The following is a 27,190-nucleotide window of genomic DNA, read 5'->3' on the forward strand; positions in this document are numbered from 1 at the left end:
TTGCTTTTTCTTAACTCTGCCCACACCTTTGTAAATCGTCCCATCATTAGTTACCCCACTTGAGTATACCATTGCTTTCCCACCAGGAATCTGAGCGATACAGTCATCTTCATCTGTAAAAAGAGAAGATTCACAGGTAGAGCCTGATGCTTAGAACATCGGCCTGGCGGTGCAGGGTGGCTCACACCTGTAATCCCAGCACATTGGGAGGCCAAGATGAGCAGATCACTTGAGGTCAGGAGTTCCAGACCAGCCTGGCCAACATGGCGAAACCCCATCTCTACTGAAAATACAAAAATTAGCCAGAGATGGTGTCAGGCACCTGTAATCCCAGCTACTTGGGAGGCTGAGGGAAGAGAGTTGCTTGAACCCAGGAGGCAGAGGTTGCAGTGAGCCGACATCATGCCACTGCACTCCAGCCAGGGCAACAGCAAAACTCCCTCTAAAAAAAAAAAAAAAAAAAAAAAAAAGAACATTGGCTGTAGGGAACTAATGGCCTGACTTCCAATCCTGGTTTCACATCTTACCTGCTCTGTGACCTTGGACAGCTCTGTTCATTTTATTCATTCACTTATTCATTCATTCATTCCCAAGAGCACCAGGAATAGTGGATATAGCAGCGGACAGGCAGACAAGTCAAATGTCCATCCACTGACAAATGAATCCACAAAAGGGTGTCTGTCCATAAAAGGGAATATTATTCATCCTTAAAAAGTAATGAAGCACTGACCCATGCTTCAACATGGATGAGCCTTTAAAACATTACACTAAGTGAAATAAGCCAAATGCAAAAGGACACCTTTTTTTTTTTTTTTTTTTTTGAGATGGAGTCTCACTCTGTCGCCAGGCTGGAGTGTAGTGGCGCAATCTCAGCTCACTGCAACCTCCACCTCCCGGGTTCAAGTGATTCTCCTCCCTCAGCCTCCTGAGTAGCTAGGACTACAGGCGTGCATCTCCACACCCAGCTAATTTCTGTATTTTTAGTAGAAACGGGGCTTCACCATGTTGGCCAGGATGGTCTCAATCTCTTGACCTCGTGATCTGCCCTCCTCGGCCTCCCAAAGTGCTGGAATTACAGGCGTGAGCCACCATGCCTGACCAGGATACTTCTTTTATGACTCTATTTATAGGAAATGTCCAGAATAGGCAAATCACTTCAGTGTTGCTCTTGCTACCACTCTAAGACATCTATTTTCTTGTCTTTCTTTTGCTTGTTTGTTTGTGACGGAGTCTCATTCTGTCGCCCAGGCTGGAGTGCAGTGGCATGATCTCAGCTTACTGCCATCTCTGCCTCCTGGGTTCAAGAGATTCTCCTACCCCAGCCTCCCAAGCAGCTGAGATTACAGGCACACACCAGCATGCCCGGATAATTTTTGTGTTTTTAGTAGAGACAATGTTTCACCATGTTGGCCAGGCTGGTCTCAAACTCCTGGCCTCAAACGATCCGCCCACCTCGGCCTACCAAAGTGCTGGGATTACAGGTGTGAGCCACTGCGCCTGGCCTATTTGTTTTTCTGCTGAGCTCTTGCACTGATCCCTCACGCTCTCCCCTCTCTACTCCTTCAGCCCTTGTCCTCTATTTCACCATTGCCACCTCCACCACTCCATGGATTCTGTTCTCAATGAGGTTACCAAAGACTTCTCAGTAGCCAGACTTTGTTGATATATTTTAGTCCTTATTTTACTTTATCTCTTGGATGCATTCAACACCACTGACCACTTTCTGCTTCTTGGAGCAGTTTTTTCCCTTGGTTTCCATGACTCTCCTGGGTCCCATGTTCTCCTGGTTTCTCATTTGTACCTCTATGACTCTTTATCTTATCTTTCTTTTTTAAAAATAATTTAATTTATTTATTTTAGAGACTGGGTCTTGCTCTGTCACCCAGGCTGGAGCGCAGTGGCATGATCATAGTTCACTGCCGCCTCAAACTTCTGGGCTCCAGCGATCCTTCTGCCACAGCCTCCTGAATAGCTGGGACCACAGGCACATGCCACCAAGCCTGGCCATTTTTTTTTAATTTTGTAGAGATAGGGTATTGCTATGTTACCCAGGCTGGTCTCAAACTCCTGGCCTCAAGTGATCCTCCTGCCTCAGCCTCCCAAAGTACTGGGATTACAGGCATGAGCCACTGCGTCCGACCTTTGTCTTAACTTTCTCTGGCTCTCTTCTCCCTGTAAATTTCAGTTCCAACAAATTGTCTCTCAGCACTTTTTATGTTCCTATCTGGATAGGACAGGTTATGCTCAAATAAGAAAGCTCTCTCAGAGTCTCATGGCTTATAACAGTGATGATTTAATTCTCACCCACACTACATGTCCATCATGGATCTCCCAGAAGGCTCTACTCTCTGTAGTCACTCAGAGATCAAGGCTAACGGAACAGCCACTGTCTTGAACTCTTTAATGAGAACTATGGAGAGTCTCACAGTAGCAATTAAATGTTCTGACCTCGTGATGGAAAGAATATAAAGTTACCAAAAAAAAAAAAAAAAAAAAAAAGCTCTGACCTAGAAATGCACTCACTTCTACTCATTACTCATTGGTCAAAACTAATCACTTAGTCCTACCCAACCACTAGGGAACCAGGAAATGCAGTTCCCGCATATATCCCCCATGTATCCAGAAACTGCAGAAGCAGAAATATTTGGTGAACAGCGCTAATGACTATTGCATCTTCTCCCTGGGAAATTTCATCCACACACATTGTTTTAAGAATAATCAAATGCTAAATGCGAAGCAGGTGGGAGGAGGGGGTATATATGTATATTATATGTTTAATTATGCATGGAATATAACTGGAAACAGGATCTACTATATAATTTGCAAGGCCCAGTGCAAAATGAAAATGTGAAGTCCGTTATTTAAAAGTTAAACATTTCAAAATGGTGACAGCAAAGCATTAAACAAATTCAGATTCCTTCTAAGTGTGGGTCCCTATATGACTGCACAGGTCCCATGCCCATGAAGCTAGCACATCTGGAAGGCTATACAAGGTGGTCTCTGGGAAGCGAGCTGAGGCTGGGGGAATTAGTCGGTGTTTGACGATTTATTTATCACCCTGCTTGTATCTGAATTTTTTCTACCATATGCGTTCATTACTTTTTTTTTTTTTGAGACAGTTTCACTCTTGTTGCCCAGGCTGGAGTGCCATGGCGCGATCTAGGCTCACCGCAACCTCTGCCTCCCGGGTTCAAGCGATTCTCCTGCCTCAGACTCCCGAGTAGTTGGGATTACAGGCATGCGCCACCATGCCCGGCTAATTTTTTGTATTTTTAGTAGAGACAGGGTTTCTCCATGTTGGTCAGGCTGGTCTCAAACTCCCGACCTCAGGTAAGCCACTGCACCCGGCCTGCGTTCATTACTTTTTAAATCACTGAACGCTAAATCTGTATCTCCAGACCATATCTGAATTCTGTGCATAGTCTATGAATCTATGAACCTATATAACCCACAGACACTTCAAGTCACATCTTCAAAATGAAACGCTTTCCCACAAAACAGTGCAAGTAAGGACTAATGAGAGGAGAGAGTGGAGACAGGCATGGACTATTTCTTCTATAGTCTTGGCTAGGAGGAAAAAGAGGTAAGAGGCCGGGTGCTGTGGCTCATGCCTGTAATCCCAGCACTTTGGGAGGCCGAGGCGAGTGGATCACCTGAGATCAGGAGTTCAAGAACAGCCTGGCCAACATGGCAAAACCTGTCTCTACTAAAAATACAAAAATTAGCTGGGTGTGATGGCGCCCGCCTGTAACCCCAGCTACTCGGAAGGGTGATAGAAGAATCACTTGAACCTAGGAGGTGAAAGTTGCACTGAGCCGAGATCGCGCCACTGCACTCCAGCCTGGGTGACAGAGCGAGACTCCGTCTAAAAAAATAAAGAAAGAGAGGTAAGAATGGTCTTTAATGGAGTCATGGGAAAATGTGTGTGTGTTGCAAGGATGTAGAGAAGATGGAACCATTTGAGCCATTCAAAGATTTTGATAGACTAAGTGGGATGTTGAGAATGGTGGTCTCTGTTTCTTTGTGAAGTAGGAAGCCACGTGTGAAGAAATGGGGATTGGGGATTGAATGGTGGATTTCTTAGTCATGTGTGTGTATGTGTTTACAATTTACAGAAAATCAGGTGACATTCTTCAGCAGAAAAGGGAGGTTTTTCTGAGGAAACACTTATCTCACAGAGCTCAAGTGCAGGAAATGTGGCCCAACCTCATGAGAACCTATTAATAGAATCAGAAACTAAACTGTCCTGAGCTGAAGTTGCTCTTTCAGTTTGAAACTGCGTGGGCCCGCCTCTGTTTGTCTCTCTGTGCGCCCATTGTGAGTCTCTGTAAACAATGGATTCCTCTGTTTCTCCCAGGGCACGTGGTCCAACACTGCCTTCAAGGTTAGGTGTCCACAGTTCGAGTGCAAGCCCAGATCCACTATCCAGTTCCGGAATTCAAGGGGAATGATTGGCCTAGTTATTTATCCCTAGTCCAATCAGCTATGGCTGTGGGCGGGGCCACAAACAAACATGGCGTCAAGCGCTGACGTCCATGAAGGGAGAAGACAGGGAGAAAGGAGGAAGAAGAAAAGGAAGGAGCGAGAGAGAGAGAGAGAGAAAGAAGAGAGAGAGCTCTCAGAGAATAGAGGCTAGGGGACTGCTGATTAAATACCCCAATTCCCTCAGGTGGGACAGCACTGAGGCAGGTCTAGGCAGTCTCCAGGGGACCCTAGTGGGACAGAGCCCAGATGCCCACAGCGATGACCTGCCCTTCCTTTTTTAATTCCACCCCCCTCCGCTCCCACCCCCGAGATGGAGTCTCGCTCTGTTGCCCCGGTTGCAGTGCAGCGGCGCCACATCGGCTCACTGCAACCTTCCCCTCTCGGGTTCAAACGATTCTTCTGCCTCAGCCTCCCCGAGTAGGTGGGGATTACAGGCGCCCTCCACCACGCCCGGCTAATTTTTGTATTTTTAGTAGAGACAAGGTTTCACTATGTTGGCCAGGCTGGTCACGAACTCCTGACCTCAAGTGATCCAACCACCTCAGCCTCCCAAAGTGCTGGAATTACAGGCGTGAGCCACCATGCCTGGTCGTGACCTGCTCTTTAGTGCTTCCTGTGTCGATTGCCTTCCCTTCCCTGCCTCCCTTCCCCATGCCTCTTCCTGGGTCACCTCCCAACAAACTACATTCACCTGAACCTCGTCCAGCCGTTATGTGCTGGTGTTAAGGAGTCTGTCTGGAATTTTCCCTGAGAGCAATAAGTGGGTTTATAAACAAGGGTGTGGCATGATCTCATTTGCAACTCAGAGCACTCTGGCTGCACCCTGGAAAATGGGCAGAAAGGGCAAGAGTGGAGACAGGGTCCTGCCCAGGGAAAGGGTACAGTGACATGGAGGGGGACTGAAGACAGCTCCTTAAAGGACACCAACATCAAGGAGACTAAGCTGAGGCACTAGGGAGGAGAGGAAGACCAGGAGACAGTGAGTATCCAGAGGCCACGGGATGAACACTTCACAAGTAAGCCGGTGGCCAAGGAGATATTAAGAGCGATGGTAAAGCTGTGAAATTAAAGCCGCTCTAGTAAGGGACCTGACAGATAAATTACTGGAACAGAATGGAGTCAAGTATTAAACACGAAGATAGGTGGAACCCGGGTGTGGTGGCTCACACCTGTAATCCCAGCACTTTGGGCAGCCAAAGCAGCAGGATTGCTTGAGCCCAGGAGTTCAAGATCATCCTGGGCAACAGAGGGAGGCCCTGTCTCTACAAGATATAAAAATAAATCAGCCAGTGGTGGTGCACGCCTGTGGTCTCAACCACTCGGGAGGCTGAGGTGGGAGGATCGCTTGAGCCCGGAAGGTCAAGGCTGCAGTGAGCCATGTTCATGCCACTGCACTCCAGCCTGGGCAACAGAGTGAGACTCTGTATGCAAAAAAAAAAAAAAAAAAAAAAAAAAAAAAGTAGGAACTTAGTGTGTGATAAAAACATTTAAATCAAGGGAGAAATAAATTCCTCCAGATAGGATCTTTAAACAATTGGCTACTCATTTAGGGGAGGTCCGAGGGAGAGGAAAATGTACTCAAACTTTACAGATTTGAAAAGATGTGTAACTTTTCAAAATATAAAGTGATAGAACTGTCATAGGTAAACTGAGTCCTTTCCTTATTTTATATCACTTGCAAAGAAAGAACACCAAAATTGGAAAAAAAAAAAAGGCCAGCTGGATTTATTCTCTGGCCAGAGAAGGAGAAGGAGTGACCTCTCACTCCAGAAACACCTCCTCCTCCCCAAGCTGTGGAAAGCTGGAGAATTTTAAAGAGTTAGATATGGGGTGGAAAGGTTTGTAAGTCTGTGCAGGGAGGAACTTTAGATGCGCAGGCACAAACCATAAACATGTGTCTTCATACGATGCATGGTCAGAAAATAGTAATTTTCTTCTATGGGTGGGGATTTTAGTATTATAATAATAAGTTAATGATCTAAAGATAACAAGGAGTCCCTGATTCTGGTTTGCTCTGGTTTCCAGCAGGCCTTACCTTCCTCTGATAATTGGTGAAACATTTTGAAGCTCCCAGGGCATCTAGAGTCCTTGTAAACTAGCATACCTAGAGGTAAAGAGACTGAAAGAAACTGTTTAAGAAATGACATAGAGCTTTTGCAGTTATCGACCACTTAAGAAAATAATGAATATTCAGCTGTTTTGCTCTCTCAGCTATTTCTCCAGGACTGCCCCAACAAGAGTCTCCAAAAGTGAGCAAAATCAGCTACACAAAATGGGACATGCAAGTTACCATTCTATTTGTATTGCACACATTTTGCATTAAAGATAGAAAATGCAAACAAAGATAACTGGACACCCTTTGAAATTACTCAACTGATGATGACACCTCACTCTCCTCTACCTGGCTGGTGTTCCATACTTCTTCCCACAGACTCTGTGAACATGTCCGTACCAGCGGGGCTTTACAGCCACGATACAAGGCTTTTCTTCTTTTTTTCTTTTTTTTCTTGAGATGGAGTCTCGCTCTGTCGCCCAGGCTGGAGTGCAGTGGCACAGTCTTGGCTCACTACAAGCTCTGCCTCCCAGGTTCACGCCATTCTCCTGCCTCAGCCTCCTAAGTAGCTGGGACTACAGGCGCCCGCCACCATGCCTGGCTAATTTTTTTGTATTTTTAGTAGAGACGGGGTTTCACCGTGTTAGCTAGGATGGTCTCGATCTCCTGACCTCGTGATCCGCCCAAAGTGCTGGGATTACAGGCGTGAGCCACCGTGCCTGGCCAAGGCTTTTCTTCTCTGTCGGGTGTGCAATGTTCCAGCCGTGGTTCACTGTGGTTTCTTTCTTGATAACTGCCATGACTAAAACAACATGTCAAAGCAATATTATTTTCCTCTATATTTCTCCAGGGCTATTTCTCAGTGAATGTGCCTTTTTAACTCTCTCTTGCTTCCTTCTCATCACCTAATTCAGAATGCTTTTTCTTTTCAGACCGAGTTTCGTTCTTGTTGCCCATGGGAGTGGAGTGCAATGTCTCAGCTCACTGCAACCCCCGCCTCCTGGGTTCAAGTGATTCTCCTGCCTCAGCCTCTCAAGTAGCTGGGATTATAGGAATGCGCCACCACGCCTGGCTAATTTTGTATTTTTAGTAGAGATGAGGTTTCTCCCTGTTGGTCAGGCTGGTCTCGAACTCCCGACCTCAGGTGATCCCCCTGCCTCGGCCTCCCAAAATGCTGGGATTATAGTCATGAGCCACTGTGCCTGGCCCAGAATTCTTAAAATAAGTTGATCAAGAGTCTATTGCCTAGTGATGTCAGAGGGTTAGCAGAAACCCCCGTGCCTTGGTATCTAAAAATGTTTTTCTTTTAGTTATGCTAAACTGGTGCTGCCTAATAGGGTGGCTACTCACCCCATGTGGCTACTTCAATTTAAATTAATTAAAATGAAATAAAATTTAAAATTCACTTCTTCAGTTGTACAAGCCGTATTTCAATAGCCACATGTAGCTAATGGCTACCATATTGAACAGCAAAGACATACAGAACTTGCCTACCATTGTAGAAAGTTCAACTGGACAGTGCTACAACATCTGTGGGATAGAAGAAAAGGTGAGTTTAGTTGCAAATAAGCAAGTAAGGTAAGGGTAGTCCCAATCAGATAGATGGCATCTATTTTGTGTGAAGTCTTGTGCTCACGCCCATAGTCCCAGCTACTTGGGAGGCGGAGGTGGGAGGATCACTTGAGGCCAGGATTTTGAGACCAGCCTGGACAACATAGCAAAATAAAAATAAAAAATATTTTCTTTTCCTTTTTCTTTTTTTTTTTTTTGGAGACACAGTTTCGCTCTTGTTGCCCAGGCTGGAGTGCAGTGGTGCGATCTCGGCTTACTGCAACCTCTACCTCCCGGGTTCAAGCAATTCTTCTGCCTCAGCTTCCCAAGTAGCTGGGATTATTGGCATGTGCCAACATATTCAGCTACTTTTGTATTTTTAGTAGAGATGGGGTTTCACCATGTTGGCCAGGCTGGCCTTGAATTCTTGACCTCAAGTGATCCACCCGCCTCGGCCTCCCAAAGTGCTGGGATTACAGGTGTGAGCCATGAGATGGAGTCTTGCTCTGTCGCTCAGTCTGGAGTGCAGTGGCAAGATCTTGGGTCACTGCAACCTCCACCTCCTGGGTTCAAAGGATTCTCCTGCCTCAGCCTCCTTAGTAGCTGGGATTACAGGCGTGCACCACCACCCCCAGCTAATTTTTGTATTTTTTTTAGTAGAGACAGGGTTTCACCATGTTGGCCAGGCTGGTCTCAAACTCCTGAGTTCAACACAAATATTGAAATAGGAGGCAGGGTAGTCCCAGCCACTTGGGAGGCTGAGGTAGGAGGATCACCTTGAACTCAGGAGGTCAAGACTGCAGTAAGCCATGATTGTACCACTTCACCCCAGTCTGGGCAACAGAGTAAGACCCTGTCTCAAAAAAAAAAAAAGAAAAAGAAAGAGAGAAAGAAAGAAAAAGAAGGAAGGAAGGAAAGGAAGGAAGGAAGGATGGAAGGAAGGAGGGAAAGAATAGAAAAAGAAATAGGAGGCAGAGTTGTCTGATGAGAATGAGAGGAAAGGCAAGAGGGTGGGAAGTGGGATGAGTGTCAAGAAGATTCAAAATAGTTGCTATGGTGAACGGGAGGAGAGCGCCAACAGGGAAAACAGGAATTCCCGGGTGGTGGTAAGAATTAGAGACCATGAATTTGTTATTGCCAGCAGTCTAAGTGACAGATTATGGGAGCAACCTGGGGCCTTCCCACCAACAGGAACGGCCTTCCACCTCCACACCCAGCAACCCACCAGGACTTGCCAAGTGGTTCACATAATTTTAAGGTATGTCATCATTGGTGTCTACTGTTTGTTATGGTGTCAACATGTGTTACTGGGACTGTAACTAGCCAGGCCCAAGATACAGCAGCAAAAGGCTGATTCTGTTGCTCTGCCCATAGATCACCCTTTCCTGGGACTTGCATCCCCTGTCAGGCCACAACATAGAGCAGAAAGCTTTTCTTTGTCCCCTGACTCAACTCAGCCACTGGGAATGACTTGGTTCACTCAGCTTAATCTGGATATACCTACCCTACCTTCTTATAAATGCTGGGTTTATTTAAACCTCAAGATCTCCCCTCTATTCCTCTCTACCCAAGCTGAATACCCATGCTATCCTTGGGAAATTCAAAAAATACCTGTTTCCTAGTCAAGATAGCTGGCCATTTTACATAACAACCCAGGTCTTCTGCAACCCTAAACAAAGGCTGGAGATAGATGAGGAAAACTAAGGCTCTCCTAATGGTGGAGGGTAGAGAGACGTCTGAGGTTTCTGGAGGACTGAGGACCTGTTGTCTTCTCCACCAGTCTAACCAGAACAGGTATAAACATCATGGAAGGAAATTTACATTGATCCAGGACTGGGCTTTTGCCACAAGTTGCAAATTATGTTATTTAGGGTGCTTTTGTGTGAAAGTAGCAGAATGCCTGACTCAAGCTGGCTTAAATATGAAATAAATGGTTATTTCATGTACTAGGATATCCTGGGGCAAGATAAGCTTCAGAGTGTGTTGATTTAGTGGCTTGACAACATAGTCAAGGATCTGGGTTCTTTCTTTCTCTCTGTACTGCCACCCTTGTTGTTGGGTTCGTCCTCAGAAAGAAAGATAATCAATTCTTTTGTCTCTTTCATGGGAAAATCTTTCCCAGAGTCCCTTTCGTCCCACCTCACTCTACCCTCTAGTGCTAGAAGTGAGTCACACGCCTGTTCCTCTCCTGACAAAAGACAGGGAATGACCATGACCTGCTTGGACCAACCATCTGGGTTGGAATGGATGTCGGGGAGTCGTTCACAACATCCATGCCTGGATATAGCAAAGATCATGGAATCTAGGCTGGATGGGAAAGGAATTGGAGGAAGGAGGGTCCTGAGAGGGAGAAAGTGGAAGGGCCAAGGGATTCTGTAGTTCAAAGAACTGCTAAGCTGGAATGACCAAAAGAACAGAAGGTGCAAGCCTGTGATCAGAGAAATGTGAGACTTTAGAGGAAGATTTTTTCCAGGAGAAACCAAGGTCCAGGACATGGTCCAGGGAAATGGTGGCTAAAGCAGAGTGGAGGTGAAGGTCATTGGAATAAGAAGGGACAGGAGCTGAGGGGCCAGGAGTTCGGCCAGGTCCTAGGTCATTAAAGTCACCAGTATGGCAGTAGGAACTGGGGTGAGAAGGATAAGCCAGTTGCCAAAGCCCTTTGAGAATAAGGGTTGATAGGTTGGTTGACTGATTGATGAGTAGGCATCATCAATGAGAGGGCACAGAAGGTGGTACAGCCAGATGCCAGGAGCCTCAGCACTTACTCAAGATGGAGGACTATGGATCTAGTAATAGAGGTGTGGAGGACAGAGGACACCATGGGGTTGGGAGAAGGACCACCATTCCCTGGTAAGGGCTTCAAGGACTATCAGGGAAGAGCCAGGGCTTACTTAGGGCAGGAAGTAGAGGGAACTGTTTGTGCAGAGGTCATGACCTTAAAAATAAAGAGCACGCCCCACTCTTCCTTTACTCCATCTCACAGGCTGGAATGAGAATCTGTAAGTGAGCCACCTTTGACCCAGAATTTGGGAACTCATACCCCTCACTTGCTAGTTGGTAATAGAAGCACGCTTGAAACAGTCCTTCCCACGTGTCCATTAATCCCGAGAGCTTGTCAGTCTCAGGGGTGTAGCAGACACTCTTAATTGCCCATTCAAAATTCATTCTAAGTGGGGCATGGGAGCTCATGCCTGAAATCCCAGCACTTTGGGAGGCAGGAGGATCCCTCGAGCCCAGGAGTTCAAGATCAGCCTGGGCAACATAATGAGACCCCTTTTCTCTATAAAAAATAGAAAATATAGCCAGGTGGAGGCAGGGCGTGGTGGCTCATGCCTGTAATCCCAGCACTTTGGGAGGCTGAGGTAGGTGGATCACCTGAGGCCAGGAGTTTGAGACCAACCTGGCCAACATGGCCAAACTCCGTCCCTACTAAAAATACAAAAAATTAGTTGGGTGTGGTGGTGGGCGCCTGTAATTCCAGCTACTCGGGAGGCTGGGGCAGGAGAATCGCTTGAACCCGGGAGTTCTAGACAGGTCTCACTGTATCAGCCCAGGCTGATCTCGAACTCATGAGCTCAAGCAATCCTCCCATCTCAGCCTCCCAAAGTGCTGAGATTACAGGTTTGAGCCAGTAGGCCTGGCCCCTACATCTTTCTTTAGAAGCCCCACAACAAATTTCCTCTCGTGTTTCATAGCCATACACTTGTTTTCATACCCATTCACTGCAGAGCCTGCAGTGAATCGAGATTGCACCACTGCACTCTAGCCTGGGTGACAGAGCGAGACTCTATCTCAAACAAAAAAAAAAGAAAAAGAAAAAATAGCCAGGTATGGTGGCATGCACCTACGGTCCCAGCTACTCTGGAAGCTGGGTGGCAGTTGGTGGGGGATCATTTGAGCCCAGGAGGTGGAGGCTGCAGTGAGTGCTGAGTGAGACCCCCTCTATAAACAAACAAACAAACAAACAAACAAACCATTCTATTTTCCTTGTTAACAGAATCCCCAATTTTATTCAGGTTTTAAACTCTTGAGAAAGACAACATCATCCCCAATTCAGGAATATCATGTTAGTCCCATTCTACTTGTGGGTGACTGGTGTAGGAATGGGTATGAAAACAAGTGTATGGCTATGAAACACAAGAGGAAATTTGTTGTGGGGCTTCTAAAGAAAGACGTAGGGGCCGGGCTTACTGGCTCAAACCTGTAATCTCAGCACTTTGGGAGGCTGAGATGGGAGGATTGCTTGAGCTCAGGAGTTTGAGATCAGTCTGGGCTGATAGTGAGACCTGTCTATAAAAAATTTTTAAATTAGCCAGGCGTGGTGGTGCATGCCTGTTGTCGCAGCTACTTGGGAGGCTGAGGTGGGAGGATCACTTGAGTGCAGGAGTCTAAGGTTGCAATCAGCTATGAACACATCACTGCACTCCAGCCTGTCTGACAGACTGAGATCCTGTCAAGGAAGGAAGGAGGGAGGGACAGAGGAAAGGAAGGAAAGAAGGCAAGAAGGCAGGAAGGAAGGAAAGAAGGAAGGAGTCATTCCTAAGAAACAGATGCGAGAAGAGATGGTCTTTCTGAAATGACATGCTCTGGATGGCAGAGCAGAATGATGGTAAGAACTTGGTTCGAACAATTGAGTTAACTAATTCAGGAGCTACCCTACTTTGGGACTTCTTTTTTTATTTTTTATTTTTATTTTTTGAGACAGAGTCTCGCTCTCTTGCCCAGGCCAGAGTGCAGCGGCACAATCTCGGCTCACTGGGGATAATGCTGCTATAAACATGGTTCTGCAAATTCCTGTTCATGTTTCTGCTTTCGATTCTTTGGAGATATAGCCAGTAGTAGAATTGCTGGGTCTTGTGGTAATTCTATATTTAAGTTTTTGAGGAAACAAGGTTTTTTTGGGTTTTTTTTTTTGAGACAGAGTCTAGTTCTGTAGCCCAGGCTGGAGTGCAGAGGCGTGATCTTGGCTCACTGCAACCTCTGCCTCCCAGGTTCAAGCGATTCTCATGCCTCAGCCTCCTGAGTAGCTGGGATTACAGGAGTGTGCCACCACACCTGGCTAATTTTTGTATTTTTGGTAGAGATGGGGTTTTGCCATGTTGGCCAGGCTGGTCTCGAACTCCTGACCTTAAGCAATCCGCCCGCCTTGGCCTCCCAAAGTTCTGGGATTATAGGTGTGAGCCACTGTGCCTGGCCAAGTTTTGTTTTTTCTTTTTTCTTCTTTTAACACAAAGAGCATTTCTTGTGTGTTTTTATGTAATCTACCCAGATAACCACCTGTGCCTGACAGCATCTCCTTTTTAACCCAAAAGCTGAATACATCGCTCTTGGAAGGAGAAATACCTTCCTTGCATCAGCAAGTCACCATCTCTCTTGCTAAAGCAGAGATAAAAATTTTTAATTTAATTCCAACAGGGCATTTTGCTACAGAGCATGGAGAGGGGAAGCAGAGTAAAGTTATGCTGAATAGTTGGACATTTAGGACATGAGATAAAAAGCAGAAGCAGAGAGACCAAGAGAAGGAAGAGAGGAACTGAATGTGGGACTTCAGCATGAAGATTCCCTAGAGTGGTCTTCAATAGAGAGTTCCTCCCTAGTCCTGGACTCCAGGAAGCCTGACTCATTTACAACATCTCCTCTTGTTTTCTACGAGATCTCGTCTTCCGTATTTCTCTCTGAGCATCTGTATACTAAGCCCTCAGTGTGTGACCGTCTATTCCTCACAATCAAACGAACACAGCTAAAACACAGTCTCATTCCCTCAGCCCCCACCAAACTGACAGCACCTTCATGTCAATGATATTGACTCACTTGGGCCCATTCTGTTGACCCAGTGACGTGGCATTCATCAGAGTAGTTGTCTCGATCCAGCTGAAGAGCTCCAAGTCAAATGGAGAAGCCAATGGAATGGGTAGGAAGTGGGATTGTCACCAGGCTGGGGCATGGAGATGGTGACATGGGATAAAGTAGGTACAGCAAACAGGACGTGAGGGCCAGAACCGACAGGCAGGTCAGGAGGGTGAGCTCAGGATCTCTGGAGGCCCCAGGAAGAAGGGGTAGGGACAGCACCTTGGCTCTGCCCACCTGCAGGAAGAGGAGAGGGGATGGTGGTAGAGTCTGTGATTGAAGATCTGTGTACTTCTCCCTGCCCATGCATAGCTCTTACCAAAACTCCCTCTTTTCACTGGCCTTTTTATCCAGTCAAACCAAATTTCCCTTGGCTCTCACTCGCTCTCTCGCTTTTTTTCATACCCACCCCCATTTCTCTTATGCCTGGAACAGTCTCCCACTTAGCATCTGCCTGCCCAGTTCTTTGCCTTCCTTTACAACTCCACCTACCACTTAGCTTCTCTGATTAAGTGAAAGTTGAATAATTATACTTCTTTCCCCAAAACACATCTCTGAAATCCCAAACATCCCTGAGGTTGCGATCTGTGAAGAAAGGTCTCTGATTGACTAATTTTCATTAAGGGAATTCAATGAGATGACTAATCATAAGCACCATGCCTGGCACCTAATAATGTTTAGTGAACTGAAGCTATTAATTAACAATGATATGTCATTAATAATAATAAAATAGTAATAGGATATAAGCTCTTAGAAGACAAGGACAGTGGCTACTCTATGCCCAGGTTCAGTAATCCAATATTCAAATATTTAATTATAGCAGAGATTGATAGGCTTTTCTGCCATGCCCAACTTCCCCCTCTAGCTCAACCTGAAATCAACAGACCTTCATATCCATAGCTGTGGCTTATTGTACCAGGGTGAACATCTGCCCAGGAGAGCCAGACTATTGGCTGGCCAGTGGTCAATTGGGACCTCTCTATTGAGAATATGAGCCAGGCACAGTGGCTCATGCCTGCAATCCCAGCACTTTTGGGAGGCCAAGGCAGGAGGATCTCTTGAGTCCAGGAGTTCAAGACCAGCCTGGGCAGCATAGCAAGACCCCATCTCTAAAAAAATAAAGAAGATTTTAAATTAGCCAGGCATGGTAGTGTGTGCTTGTAGCCCAGCTACTTGGGAGGCTGAGGTCGGAAGATTGCTTGAGCCAGGAGTTTATTTGCAGAGACGAGGTTATCCTATGTTGCCCAGGCTGGTCTCAAACTCCTGGGCTCGAGCAATCCTCCCACCTTGGCCTCCCAGAGTGGTGGGAAAGCAAACATGAGCCACCACGCCCAGCCCCAGCTCTGCCATCTATATGGTGTTACCCTCATCAGCATGGTCCTAAGTGGTTCCCACCAGGACTCAATTCTAAACAGAAGGCTGGAAGAAAAAGGAAAGGAGAAAGAAGGGGCATGTTCCTCCCTTGAAGGGCATGATCTATCACTGCCACTTGCTGGTCATTGGCCGGAGCTTAGTCATGCAGTCACACCTACCTGCAGTAGAAGGTGGGAAATGCAGTCCTTATTCTGTTGACCATGTTCCCCACCGAAAATCAGGACAACCAAATTGAGGACAACCAAGAATTCCTGCCACCAGTACAAATGAAACAGTCCTCTGACCTGGAACTGAATGACTAGCCTGTCCTACACGTGGAAGGAACTCTGGGTTCCCAGGGGATCTGGGCGGCTATGAAACGTATAACATAGCTCAGCCAGGAAAAAGCTCCCAGAAGAGAATTTATTTGTCTGGGAAGGTACAGGCAAAAAATGACCATTCTGCATTTTTCCGAGGGAAAGAGGCCCAACCAACCTCATGTGGTTTGTTCTGTCCAGCTTGGCACTGACAGAGGCTGGTGGGGGCTAGGGGAGGGTCTGAAAGTTCAGGGTCTCAGGTATGAACTATTGCTCTGACCAGGTGCTAGGTTGTGTCCTGTAGGAATGTGCTGGGTCCCTAGATGACCTCAGAGGTCACTGATTTCACAAGATCCACAAACAATTCAATATTCAAATATTTAACTGTAGCAGAGATGGATAGATTTTTTTCTGCCATGCCCAACCTCCCCCTCTAGCTCAACCTGAACGCAACAGACCTTCATATCTATAGCTGTGGCTTATTGGACCAGGGTGGACAGGGTGGATCAGCCTTCCCTGATCCACCAGCTGAAAGAGAGTTATGCTCTCCTCTGAGGCTCCACCATACCTGGAATAGACATCTCTTGGTAGCACCATGCTTCCTATGTTTTCAGTTGATATGGCTTAGGTCAAGCTGTCCCCATCCACAAGTCCCAGGGGTGGGTCCAGGACACAGTCCTAGACAATCAAAGCATATTTTCTCCTGGCTACTGTGCTTTGTTCAAGAGCAGGCACATGATTCAGGTTGGTCTAATATGAGTCTTGGAATTTTGGCTAAAATCATTGAAAAAGTGGTGCTCTTTGAGCTGGAGTTGCTAAGCTGGCAGGTTATGTGCCTAAAGCTCTTGGTGGCCATCATGCCAGCAGGGAATGAAGTTGACTTAGAGGAAACCAGAGGGAAATGATGGAGGGATTTCTGACGACATCATTTGAACACCCTGATCAAGCCATACCTGCAACCTCGACTAGATTTAGGTACCGGTAACCTCCCTTTATTGCTTAAACCAATTGGAGCAGGCATGCCTATCACTTTTTCACTTTTGACCAAAAGTCTTGGCTAACCTAGCATCTATGTGTCCCTTCATAACATAGCTTCTCACTTTGTAGCTGATGTTGCAATTATTGCTGAGCACATTTCATGGATCCTCTTTGGCTATGAGAAATTTTTTTTTTTTTTTTTTTTTTTTTTGAGACAGAGTCTCACTCTGTCGCCTAGGCTGGAATGCAGTGGTGTGATCTCAGGTCACTGCAACCTCTGCCTTCCGGGTTCAAGCGATTCTCCTGCCTCAGCCTCCCAAGTAGCTGGGACTACAGGTGCATGCCACCATGCCTGGCTAATTTTTATATTTTTGTAGAGACAGGGTTTCACCACGTTGGCCAAGCTGGTCTCAAACTCCTGACCTCAAGTGATCTGTCTGCCTCAGCCTCCCAAAGTGCTGGGAGTACAGGCATGAGCCACCATGCCCAGCTGACTATGAGATCTTGAAACCAGAATTCCTCCTAGGTGCCAGGCACAACTCAGATGTTTGGGGAATACTTGGTGAATGAGTGGATAGATCGATGGATGGATGGATGGATGGACTGATGGATGGAAATAATTAAGATAATACATGTTCCTCCAGAACGTCAAGTCCCCAAATTGCAGCCTATGCTTCTCCAGGCCTTTCTCAGAATCTTTGCCCCATCCTTGTGTTCATTCATCCAGGCAATACATGTTTATTGATCACTATGATGTGTGAGGCTCTGTGCCAGGGAATGTGTGGTGCAGTGGTGCAGAGCCTGTGCTCTGGAGTCATATGGACCTGGATTTGAACCCCATCTCTGCCGCTTAATCTTCATGTGACCCTGGACAACTTGCTTAACATCTCTGAACCTTGATTTCTTCATATATAAAATGAGCGTTAGTGGTATTTTCTCCGTAGACTTGTTGTGAGAATAACCAAGATAAAATGACCACTTATTATGTGCCCTTTACAAATGTTAGCTGTAATTATGCTCTTGCCTTCCAATTTAACTAGCTAGATAGGTAGGCAAGTAGGGAGAGAGAGAGAGAGAGAGAGAGAGAGAGGGAGAGGGAGAGGGAGAGGGAGAGGGAGAGAGAGAGAGAGAGAACAGCAAACAAATGCGTTTTTTTCTCTCTCTCATAATTTGTGGAAGATATACTTGTCTAGACCAGTGATTCTCAACTAGGGGTGACTGTGTGCCCCAAAGACGTTTGGCAATGTCTGGAGACATTTTAGTTGTCATGACTGAGGGAGTGCTACTGGCATCTACAGCCAGAGTTGCTGCTAAAGTATAGGACAATCCCCGTGACAAAGAAATGTCTGGTCCCAGTATGCACAGTGGCTGGGACAGGCATAGTGGCTCATACCTGTAATCCCAGCACTTTAGGAGGCCGAGGCAGGAGGATTGCTTGAGCCCAGGAGTTCAAAACCAGCTTAGGCAATATGGGGAGACCCTATCTCTACAGAAAATACAAAAAAATTAGCCGGGCATGGTGGTGTGTGCCTGTAGTCACAGCTACTTGAGAGGCTGAGGTGGGAAGATAGCTTCAGCCCAGGAGGTTGAGGCTGCAGTGAGCCATGATCGTGTACTGCACTCCAGCCTGGGCCATAGAGTGAAACCCTGTCTCAAAAACAACAAAAACAAACAAAAAACAAAACAAAACAAAAGTCCACAGTGCCTAGGCTGAGAAATCCTGGTCTATAATGCGTTGACATCTTTGAAATCAAGTACCACAGTCCAAGGTACATAGTAGGTGCTCAGTGAATGTTTGACAACCACATGAATGAATGAATGAATCAATCAATCAATCACAGAATGAATGAATCACCAAATGAATGAATGATTATATAGTTCATTTTTCGTTTGGCTGAGTGCCTGGGACCGGGCTGTATCTGAGCAGCTGTTCAGTAAATGGTTATTGACAAGTTCCTGTAAACATCCCCCTCCAAAGCAGTTGGGGAGCAAGATCCTGGCGGGTGAACACCCAGCCTCACAGCTATGGTTCCAGGTCATGATAAATTGCTGTGGGAAGCCACAGAGCAGACAGCTCATCACACATTGTGATGGATTCATTGTCTTATCTTGTGGCCCCCTTTATCTCAAACTCTCAGCAGAGAAGGATATAAAGGGGCTGAGCTGAGCGAGAGCCTGTGGATGCTGCTCTTCAGGAAAAGGAGGGGAAAATCAGCCCAGACTGGGGATCATCATTAACAGGAGCCGGTTAGAATTAGAGATGGGGGTGCGGATGGTGGTGGGACTCTCTTCATCCCCACACCCTATCTAATTCATTTATTCAACAAATATTTATTGAGTACCAGAGACTCTTTGGGGATACGTGAATTAATAAAACAGACAAAACCCCTACCCTGTTGGAATTTATATTTTAAAGAAGCAGGATGAACAATGGACACATAAGTCGGACATACTGTATATGAGGAGCCCTGTACACTAGGAGAAAAATCAGGCAGGGAGGGAAGATAAGGCGTGTTTGGGGTTGAGCTTTTCCATTGAGGTGAAATTCACATAACATGAAATTAACCATTTAAAAGTGAACAATTTGCTGGTGCGCGGGCTCAGGCCTATAATCCCAGTACTTTGGGAGGCTGGGACGGGAGGATTGCTTGATCCCACGAGTTGGAGACCAGCTGGGCAACATGACAAGACACCATCTCTATTTTTGTTACTGTTTGTTTGTCTGTTTGTTTTGAGACCAAGTCTCACTCTGTTACCCAGGCTGGAGTACAGGCGTGATCTCAGCTCACTGCAACCTTTACCTCCTGGATTCAAGTGATTCTCGTGCCTCAGCCTCCCGAGTAGCTGGGACTACAGGCATGAGCCACCACACTCGGCTAATTTTTGTATTTTTTTAGTAGAGACAGAGTTTCACCAGAGTTCAAGTCCAGGCTGGTCTCCAACTCCTGACCTCAGGTGATCCACCTGCCTCGGCCTCCCAAAGTGTTGGGATTACAGATGTGCGCCACCGTGCCCGGCCTCTATTTTTTTTTTAAGTGAACAATTTAGTGGCATTTAGTTCATTCACAATGTTGTGCAACCACTATCTCTGTCTAGTTCCAGAACATTCTCATTGTCCCAGAAGGAAACCCCATACCCATTAAGGAGTCCCTCTCCATTCCCCCTTCCTGCAGCCCCTGGTAACCACCAGTTTTCTTTCTCTGTATGGATTTGTCTGTTTTTGGATATTTCACATAAATGGCGTCATACACTATGTGGCCTTCTGTCACTAGCTCCTTTCACAAGAAGCTCACCTTGTTTTCAAGATTCATTCATGTTGTAGCATGTGCCTTTCATTCCTTTTTATGGCTGAACAAAATTGAATTGCATGGATAGACCACATTTTTTTAATTCATTCATCTGTTTAGGGACATCTGAGTTGTTTCCATCTTTGGCTATTGTGAATAGTGCTACTATGAACATTCAGGTTACAAGTATCTGTTTGAGGCTGGGTGCAGTGGCTCATGCCTGTAGTCCCAGCACTTTGGGAGGCTGAGATGGATGGATCGCTTGAGGTCAGGAGTTCGAGACTAGCCTGGCCAACACAGTGAAACTCCGTCTCTACTAAAAATTAAAAAATAAAAATAAAAAATCTTGTGTTTGAATCCCTGTTTCCAATTCTTTTGGGTAAAAACCTAAGAGTGGAACTGCTGTGTCATATGGTAATTCTATGTTTAACTTTTTGAGGGATGGCCAAACTGTTTTCTACAGCAGCAGCATCATTTTACATTCCTATCAGTGATATACAAAGGCTCCAATGTCTTTATCTTCTCACCAATACTTGTTATTTTTGAGAGAGAGTCTCGCTGTGTCACCCAGGCTGGAGTGCAGTGGTGCGATCTCAGCTCACTGCAACCTCCACCTCCCGGATTCAAGTGATTATAGTGTCTCCTGAGTAGCTGGGATTACAGGGACCTGCCACCACGCCCAGCTACTTTTTGTATTTTTAGTAGAGACCAGGTTTCGCCATGTTGGCCAGGCTGTCTTGAACTCCTGACCTCAGGTGATCTGCCCACCTCGGCCTCCCAAAGTGCTGGGATTACAGGCGTGAGCCACCGCGTCTGGCCTCCATTTTAAAACTAATAATCGACCTAGTGAAATGAAGTCGTATGTCATGTGGTTTGGTTGGCGTTTCCCTAATACAAATTATTATGTGGTAAGCATCTTTTCATGTGGTCATTGGCCATGTGTATATCTTCTTAGATAAATGTCTATTCAAGTCCTTTGCTCACGTGTGACTTGGGTTGTCTTTTTGTCATTGAGTTAGAAGCATGGGGTTTTATTTATTTATTTATTTATTATTTTTGAAACAGAGTCTCACTCTTGTCGCCCAGGCTGGAGTGCAGTGGCGCAATCTCGGCTAACTGTAACCTCCACCTCCCGGGTTCAAGTGATTCTCCTGCCTCAGCCTCCTGAGTAGCTGGGATTACAGGCGCCTGCCACCACAGCTGGCTAATTTTTGTACTTTTAGTAGAGACAGGGTTTCACCATGTTGGCCAGGCTGGTCTCGAACTCTTGACTTCAGGTGATCCACCCACCTTGGCCTCCCAAAGTGCTCCCAAATTACAGGCTTGAGCCACTGTGCCCGGCCTTATTTATTTATTTTTTGAGACAAGGTCTCACTCTATCACCCAGGCTGGAGTGCAGTGGCACAATCATGGCTCACTGCAGCCTCAACCTCCTTGGCTCAAGCAATCCTCCCACCCACCTCAGTCTCTTGTGTAACTGGGACCACAAGCATGTACCACCACACCAGGCTAATTTTTGTATTTTCTATAGAGCCCAGGTTTTATCATGTTGCCCAGGCTGGTCTCAAACTCCTGGTCTCAAGTGTTCTTCCTGCCTCAGCCTCCCAAAGTGCTAGGATTAATAGTTGTGAGCCATGATGCCCAGCCTAAACTTTTAAATAGGGTGATCAGAAAAGATCTCCCTAAGATGATGACTTTTAAGTGAAGACCTTAAGAAGGTGAGAGGGTGAGCCAAGGAGATAACTGGGAAGAGCATTCCAGGCAGAGAGGACAGCAAATACAAAGATCCTGAGGCAAATCACTTTCATTTGTCTGTAACTCTGTTTTCCTGTCTGCAAATGGGGAGGAATAAGACCATGAAGCATCCCAACAAATGGTGGCAAATTATCAACACCTGGGCTCGCCCACTGCTCTTGCTCTTAAGCAAGATACTTAATGAATGTCTCAGAGCTTCAGTTTGCTCACCTGTAAAATGGTGATAATAACTGTACCAATCTCACAGTGTTGTCAGGAGAATTAAAAGACATATGCTTTGCCAGGGCCTGGCACACAGTAGTGTTCACAAATGTAGGGTTTGAACCCAGACTAGGAGGACTTCCAGTCCTGAGGGGTGATCATAGCTCACTGCAGCCTCGACTCCCCAGGCTCAGTGATCCTCCCACCTCAGCCTCTCAAGTAGCTGGGACTACAGGGCATCTGCCACCATGCCCAGCTAATTTTTGTATTTTTTGTAGAGACAAGTTTCACCATGTTTCCTAGGCTGGTCTCAAACTCTTAGGGTCAAGTGATGTGCCTGCCTTGGCCTCCCAAAGTGCTAGGATTACAGGCATCAGCCACCATGCCTGGCCCCTCTTCTTTTTTTCAGACAGAGTTTCGTTCTTGTTACCCAGACTGGAGTGCAATGGTGCAATCTCGGCTCACCGCTACCTCCACCTCCTGGGTTCAAGCGATTGTGCTGCCTCAACCTCCCGAGTAGCTGGGATTACAGGCATGTGCCACGATGCCTGGCTAATTTTGTATTCTCAGTAGAGACTGGGTTTCTCCATGTTGGTCAGGCTGGTCTCGAACTCCCGGCCTCAGGTGATATGCCCGCCTCAACCTCCCAAAGTGCTGGGATTACAGGCCTGAGCCGCTGCGCCCAGCTTTGCTTCGCTTCTCCCCTCCCATTCCCTCCCCTGCTCCTCTCCCCTCCCTTTCCTCTTCCTTTCCTCTTTCTTTTCTTTTCTTTTGAGTTAGAGTCTCACTCTGTTGCCCGGGCTGGAATGCAGTGGCACAATCATGGCTCACTGCAGCCTTGAACTCATGTGCTCAAGCGATCCTCCTGCCTCAGCCTCCCAAGTTGGGATTACAGGCATGAGCCACTGCACTTGGCTCAGTTCCCCTCATTTCTGTGAGAGAGTCTAAAGGGTTTCATGGTGGGGAAGCCTGTGGTCCATCCTGACTGCCTCCCTATGTTTTCCCCTATCTATGTTTTTAAAAGCATAATTTAACCAGCCTGGCCAACATGGTGAAACCCCATCTCTACTAAAAATGCAAAAAATTAGCCGGGTGTAGTGGCGGGCACCTGTAATCCCAGCTACTCAGGAGGCTGAGACAGAAGAGGTTCAAGTGAGGCGAGATTGCACCATTGCACTCCAGCCTGGGCAACGAGAGAGAAACTCCATCTCAAAAAAAAAAAAAAAGCATAATTACTTAGATTCTAACATCAAGCAGGGAGATTAGAGTCTGAATCCCAGCTTTCACCGAATGACCTTGGGCAAATGTCTTAACCTCTTTGAACTAATTTCTTCATCTGTGCCTCAATATTGTGGACAGGATTCAAGATCATATTGTGTCAACAGGAGAATTAACAGAGATAACGCAAGTGAGTATCACCAGCACGTGACAGGTGCTCAAAAAAAAAGTATTCCTGGTCAGACATGGTGACTCACGACTGTAATCCCAGCACTTTGGGAGGCCGAGGCGGGTGGATCATCTGAGGTCAGAAGTTCAAGACCAGCCTGACCAACATGGAGAAACCCCGTCTCTACTAAAAATACAAAATTAGCCGGGGTGGTGGCGCATGCCTGTAATCCCAGCTATTCAGGGAGGCTGAGGCAGGAGAATCGCTTGAACCCGGGAGGCGGAGGTTGCAGTGAGCCGAGATCATGCCATTGCACTCCAGCCTGGGCAACAAGGGTGAAACTCCGTCTCAAAAAAAAAAGTCTTCCCTCCACTATGGCTTCATCGTGTGTCTGCCCAGCAAATATGATTCGGGGCAATCAAAAAACACAAGATTATTTTAAATAGATCATCTTCAACACAAATTACCACAGTGTTTTGCTTTGTTTTGTTTTTTGGTGGCGAATAGATTGTGGGCCTTGGGGGGCGTCTCAAGTGAGTGCTCAGATCCCAGCTTCTGTGCTTTATTGGCTGTTGGACCTCCGGCGAGTGTCTTAACCTGTCTGAGCTTTAGTTTCCTGGCCTAACTTACAAAGTAGTTGTAAGAATCCAAGATAATTTTCGTAAAGCACCTAGCACCCAAGAGGACTTTGGGCCTTATGGGGCCGCAGTAGTTATCCAGCTATGAAAAAAAGGACAAAAGGCCAGGCACAGTGGCTCATGCCAGTAATTCCAGCACTTTGGGAGGCCGAGGCGGGTGGATCACTTGAGGTCAGGAGTTCGAGACCAGCCTGGCCAACATGGCAAAAACCTGTCTCTACTAAAAATACAAAAATTAACCAGGCGTGGTGGCACACGCCTGTAATCCCAGCTACTCTGGAGGCTGAGGCAGAATAACTTGAACCCAGGAGGCGGAGGTTGCAGTGAGCTGATATCACTCCACTGCACTCCAGCCTGGGCGACACAGTGAGACTCTGTCTCAAAAAAAAAAAAAAAAAAAAAAAAAGGACAAGAAACCCGAGCAGTTTGGGTGGCAAAGGAAGACCAGGAGAGAGAAATTCCAATCAGGCTATTTAGAAACGCCATGCAGAGCTGGGCACAGTGGCTCACACTTGTAATCCCAACACTTTGGGAGGCTGAGGCGGGCAAATCACAAGGTCAGTAGTTCAATTCCAGCCTGGCCAATATGGTGAAACCCCATCTCTACTAAAAATACAAAAATTAGCCAGGCATGGTGGCGGGCGCCTGTAATCCCAGCTACTCGGGAGGCTGAGGCAGGAGAATTGCTTGAACCTGGGAGGCAGAGGTTGCAGTGCGCCGAGATCATGCCACTGCATGCCAGCCTGGGCAACAGAGCAAGACTCTGTCTCAAAAAAAAAAAAAAAAAGAAAAGAAAAGAAAAGAAAGAAATGCTGTGCAGAGCCTAGTGAGAGTGAAATCAAAATCAACGAGTTTCCAGCCTTATTTTTCTCCCTCTAGAAAGAGCTAGGGATCAGGAATCTCAAATTTGGACTTCACTTTGTCCAAAGCTAACTCTGTGCCCTTGAGCAAATCTCTTCCCCTCTCTGTGCCTCAGTTTTCCAGGAATCCCTTTGTAAAGACCCTTTCCTCTCTGAAACCATGGTGGTACTGCTACTGACCAGCAGAGGGCAGTGATGCACCAACATTCTCTATGGATCTGCGTTGCTTTTGTCTGGCCTTGGACAAGAACATTTAAATAATTAGTTAGTGGTCTGTGTCACTCTTTTTCAAAGAGCCTTATTTTATCCTCAGCGCATAGTCAGAATAAGGTCTTGCCACAGTGCACAGATGAGGAAGTAGAGCCTCAGAAGCATAAGAAACTTAACCGGTAATTTTGGTCACACCACATCCTAAATTTAGACTATCAGAATGGTATGAACACATTGCTGTATGTCTGGGCTGCATGGCATCGATAATCCATTACCTGCTTTATGGTTCATGAAGCACTTTCTGATCCTCAATATCAGAATTCTCATCTTATTCTCCTCCAGTTTACAGGTGAGCAAACAGTGGCCTCTAGAGGTTATGTCATTTGGCTTAGCATTTTCTTGTTCTTTTTTTTCTCCAGGTGTTTTTTTGTTTGTTTGATTGTTTGTTTGTTTTGAGACAGAGTCTTGCTCTGACACCTAGGCTGGAGTGCAGTGGCGCAATCTCGGCTCAGTGCAACCTCCACCTCCTGGGTTCAAGCGATTCTCAGGCCTCAGCCTCCCGAGTAGGTGGGACTACAGGCAAGAGCCACCACGCCTGGCTAATTTTTGTATTTTTAGTAGAGACAAGGTTTCACCATGTTGGCCAGGCTGGTCTCAAACTCCTGACATCAGTTGATACACCTGCCTCAGCCTCCCACAATGCTGGGATTACAGGCGTGAGCCACCAAGCCCCTCCTCTTCAGGTTTTATTTATTTATTTTAGCAACAGGGTCTCACTATGTTGCCCAGGCTGGCCTCAAACTCCTGGCTTCAAGTGATCCTCCCACCTTGGCCTCCCAAGTAACTGGGATTTACAGCAGTGAGCCACTGCACCCGGCACTAGCATATTCACAATCAGCTCCATCTTACAGACTGGTTGACTCCCAGAAATATTAGCTTAACAACAGAACCTGGCGTTCTGCAGTTTTTATGTGATGAAATGTAGTGAGTGAGTGCTCATCCAAATATTGCTCCTTGTTTTGGAAAAGGAATTAAGCCCCTTTCCCTGTCTCAGCAGCCACACCATTATTAGCAATCCCATAGGAAACTGGAATAGCTTTACATAGACAGTGGTTCTCAAAAAGGACTATCAAATGACACACCTGTCCCCAACTCCAGATTCTGATATCCACACCCCAAACATCCAATCACTGGTTTTGATGGTCTTTTGACGTTGTTGTTTGTTTGTTGTTATAGTTTTTGTTTTTGTTTTGAGATGGAGTCTCGCTCTGTCGCCCAGGCTGGAGTGCAGTGGCACGATCTCAGCTCACTGAAACTTCCACCTCCCAGATTCAAGTGATTCTTCTGCCTCAGCCTCCCGAGTAGCTGGACTACAGGCGTGCACTACCATAAATTTTTTTTTTTTTTAGACAGAATTTTGCTCTTGTCACCCAGGCTAGAGTGCAGCGGCACGATCTCAGCTCACTGCAACCTCCGCCTCCCAGGTTCAAGAGATTCTCCTGCCTCAGCCTCCCGAGTAGCTGGGATTACAGGCGCCCGCCACCATGCCTGGCTAATTTTTGTATTTTTAGTAGAGACAGGGGTTTCACCATATTGGCCAGGCTGGTCTGGAACTCCTGACCTCAGGTGATCTTCCTACCGCGGCCTCCCAAAGTACTGGGATTACAGGTGTGAGCCACCGCGCTCGGCCTTGTTTGTTGTTTTGATCTGTTTGTGTGTGCTATGTCATCAACAGACTCCTGGGTTGGATAAGATGCTGTAACAGAAAAGTGCAACTCAAATTAGCTTAAACACGTAAACATTAGGAAAATTTCCACCTCACCTAACAAGTAAACTGCAAGGTAGCAAAGGTAGCTACTAAACAACAGCAGCAGCTTCTCTCCATTTTTTCACCTTCATCACGATGGGCAAAAGTGCCCTTTAGTGTGAGTCCCCCTCATGGATACAAGATGGCAACTGCATTCCCAAGCATGGCAGCCACAAGGGGGCAACACCCAAAGGAAGATAAAAGGCCTCTTCCTTGTGTCTCTTTATAAAAGGAACTACCCACCCCAGCTGATTTGCTCTCACATCTCATTGGCCAGAAATGGATCACGTGGCCCTGCCTAAACCAATCACTAGCCAGGGAATGAGATTGACATGAAGGCTTAGGCCTCTGGATCTCAACCAGCGGTGATTTTATCCTGGAGGGGACATTTGGTACTGTCTGCTCACATTTTTGATTGCCACAACTGAGGGCAGGATACTACTAGCAGCTACTGAGTAGAG

General features: G+C 46.5%; 1 long non-coding RNA gene across 1 annotated transcript, besides 4 other annotated features; it reads right to left on the reverse strand.

Moving 5' to 3' along the window:
- Positions 3,952-4,782: a transcriptional cis regulatory region, noted in NCBI's record as "candidate enhancer chr12.3588 targeted for multiplex CRISPR interference". NCBI's record gives its function as "positively regulates C12orf76 gene expression in K562 cells {active_cell/tissue: K562}" and the evidence as "EXISTENCE:mutant phenotype evidence [ECO:0000015][PMID:30612741]".
- Positions 4,044-4,123: an enhancer, noted in NCBI's record as "active region_6996". NCBI's record gives its function as "activates an Ori minimal core promoter by ATAC-STARR-seq in GM12878 lymphoblastoid cells {active_cell/tissue: GM12878}" and the evidence as "EXISTENCE:reporter gene assay evidence [ECO:0000049][PMID:35858748]".
- Positions 4,264-4,393: an enhancer, noted in NCBI's record as "active region_6997". NCBI's record gives its function as "activates an Ori minimal core promoter by ATAC-STARR-seq in GM12878 lymphoblastoid cells {active_cell/tissue: GM12878}" and the evidence as "EXISTENCE:reporter gene assay evidence [ECO:0000049][PMID:35858748]".
- LOC105369976 (uncharacterized) lies at positions 7,224-26,903 on the reverse strand. The gene is made up of 3 exons (XR_945334.2): positions 26,745-26,903; positions 13,901-14,173; positions 7,224-7,340 (listed from the first exon to the last, which is right to left on the reverse strand). It is a non-coding gene; the product is annotated as an uncharacterized LOC105369976 (long non-coding RNA).
- Positions 26,831-27,125: an enhancer, noted in NCBI's record as "tiled region #13461; HepG2 Activating DNase unmatched - State 12:CtcfO, and K562 Activating DNase matched - State 12:CtcfO". NCBI's record gives its function as "activates a minimal TATA promoter and a strong SV40 promoter by Sharpr-MPRA in HepG2 and K562 cells {active_cell/tissue: HepG2 | K562}" and the evidence as "EXISTENCE:reporter gene assay evidence [ECO:0000049][PMID:27701403]".

This window comes from Homo sapiens, chromosome 12 (assembly GCF_000001405.40).
Source record: "Homo sapiens chromosome 12, GRCh38.p14 Primary Assembly".
NCBI classification, from domain to species: Eukaryota; Metazoa; Chordata; class Mammalia; order Primates; family Hominidae; genus Homo; species Homo sapiens.